This window comes from Homo sapiens, chromosome 13 (genome assembly GCF_000001405.40).
Source record: "Homo sapiens chromosome 13, GRCh38.p14 Primary Assembly".
Lineage (NCBI taxonomy): Eukaryota > Metazoa > Chordata > Mammalia > Primates > Hominidae > Homo > Homo sapiens.
Window position 1 is genome coordinate 86,907,762 of NC_000013.11, and position 1,839 is coordinate 86,909,600.

Genomic DNA, 1,839 nt, shown 5'->3' on the forward strand with positions numbered 1-1,839 from the left:
ATGTTCTATTATTTTTATTATAATCCAATTCTCTTTAGTAAAATCACACTTTTACTTACCTCACATTATAGTTTACAAACTAAAGCATATATTATTTCAATTTGCCTTAGCTAAATTTCTGGAAAATAACAAAGGTTGATGTCACTTTTTCCTAATTTCATGGTTGAAAGAAACAAACTTAAAATGTTAATAGATTTGCCCCAAATTATATAAAATTCAGATTGAGTCTGGTTCTAGAAATCAAATCTTTCAATGTCAAACCTAGTGTTATAATTTACCTTGATGTTTTCTACTTCTTAAGGCATATGATCATATTATTTTAGTTTACTCATCACTCAGCTTATAAAATATTGAAAAAAACCAGTAATACTTCGTGTTGTCTTAAATCTTGAAACTGTATATTATACACATTATGCATCTGAGTCAGTAAAAATCACAGTGATGAAGTAAATGTTATTTAAACTTCCATCATGGGTTGTAGCCTACTTCATTACAGGCCATCTATTCCCAAATCCTACAAAATAATTTCTTCCAAATGTTAAACCTCTTGTCAGTCTTTTAGCATTCAATTAGTTCCATTTGCAGTAGATGTAACCCAGAAGCCAGCCTTTATATTGCACTTCTAATGGTGAGAGTGAGATGTGAGAAAACTGTTATTCTGCAAAAGTGGCCCTGGATAAGTATGATCAAAAAGAACTGAAAACATTTGATCTTGGAACAATGCAAATCATTTCCAAAACAAAGTTTCCTGCATTGACAAGTACATTTACAGGTTCTCACCTTCAGTGTTTCAAAATGTATTTATAAGGCATAATACATGAGATAGCCCAGATTAAGAAATGATATGAAAGAAAGATTTTTATCTGAAAACTTTTTTTTCAAAAATTTCCAAAATGCTGGGACCTTGCAATTTTAAGTTTTATGGAAGCCAGTTATTCTGTAGGACAGTAGGGTGTTTGTTAAGTTTGACAGTGTTATTATATATTAGAAAGATGTCAGCACTTGGAGGCAGGAAAAGGATTTTGCCATCAAGTAACTGAGATATACAAGTGTTCTAGGTCACCTGGAGAAACCTAAAAAGCCAAACAGCGTCCACTCTCAAGAAGCTCTGCCTAATACAGGAATTCATGACAAATGCAGACACAGAATCTACATGTTAGAATGATGCAGATTCAGTATTAGGAAGGTTCAACTGAAAAAGAGCTTCACTTCAATATTAAGGTATGCGGAAAATAATTTTGAACAAGAAGATAGCTGTTTAGAGGGTTTAAGTATACATTGATATTTAACTTGTACAGAGAAAAAAAATTCTGAATAAAGAAAACTGAATAAGCAGAGAAATATATATAAGAAGTTATAAGGCATATTTGGCAGGAAATAAATACGTCAATTTATCTGGTACAAAGTGTTACCGGAATGTGAGTCTGCAGTTATCCTGAGAAACTCCAGAGGGGAGACTTTGCAGATCTCAGTCCTTTGTCTTCTGGAAGGAAATAATTCAAATGAGATACACAGGCAAGCTTTAAAGCAGGAGGGAAAGTTTATTTCAAGAGAAGTGAGAGTTTCTTGGAGAAAGTAGATTACACCTGGAGGATAGCCAAGCAGGCAACTTGAAAAATCAGGTGCCTTGGCTGCATCTTTGTTCTGAGTTTTTATAACCCTTATCTTTTCCTGGGCTCTTTGCCTCCACCCTTCGTTCTTCCTCTGGGCAGTCTGTCGCTCAATTATGGTGTATTACATGGTTCTGCCAGCACTTTGTTGGGGCCGCATGCGCAGTGTGCTTACTGAAGTCATGCGCAGGCCCATTAGAGGCAATTCGTCCTTAAAGGTCAAGGGCCC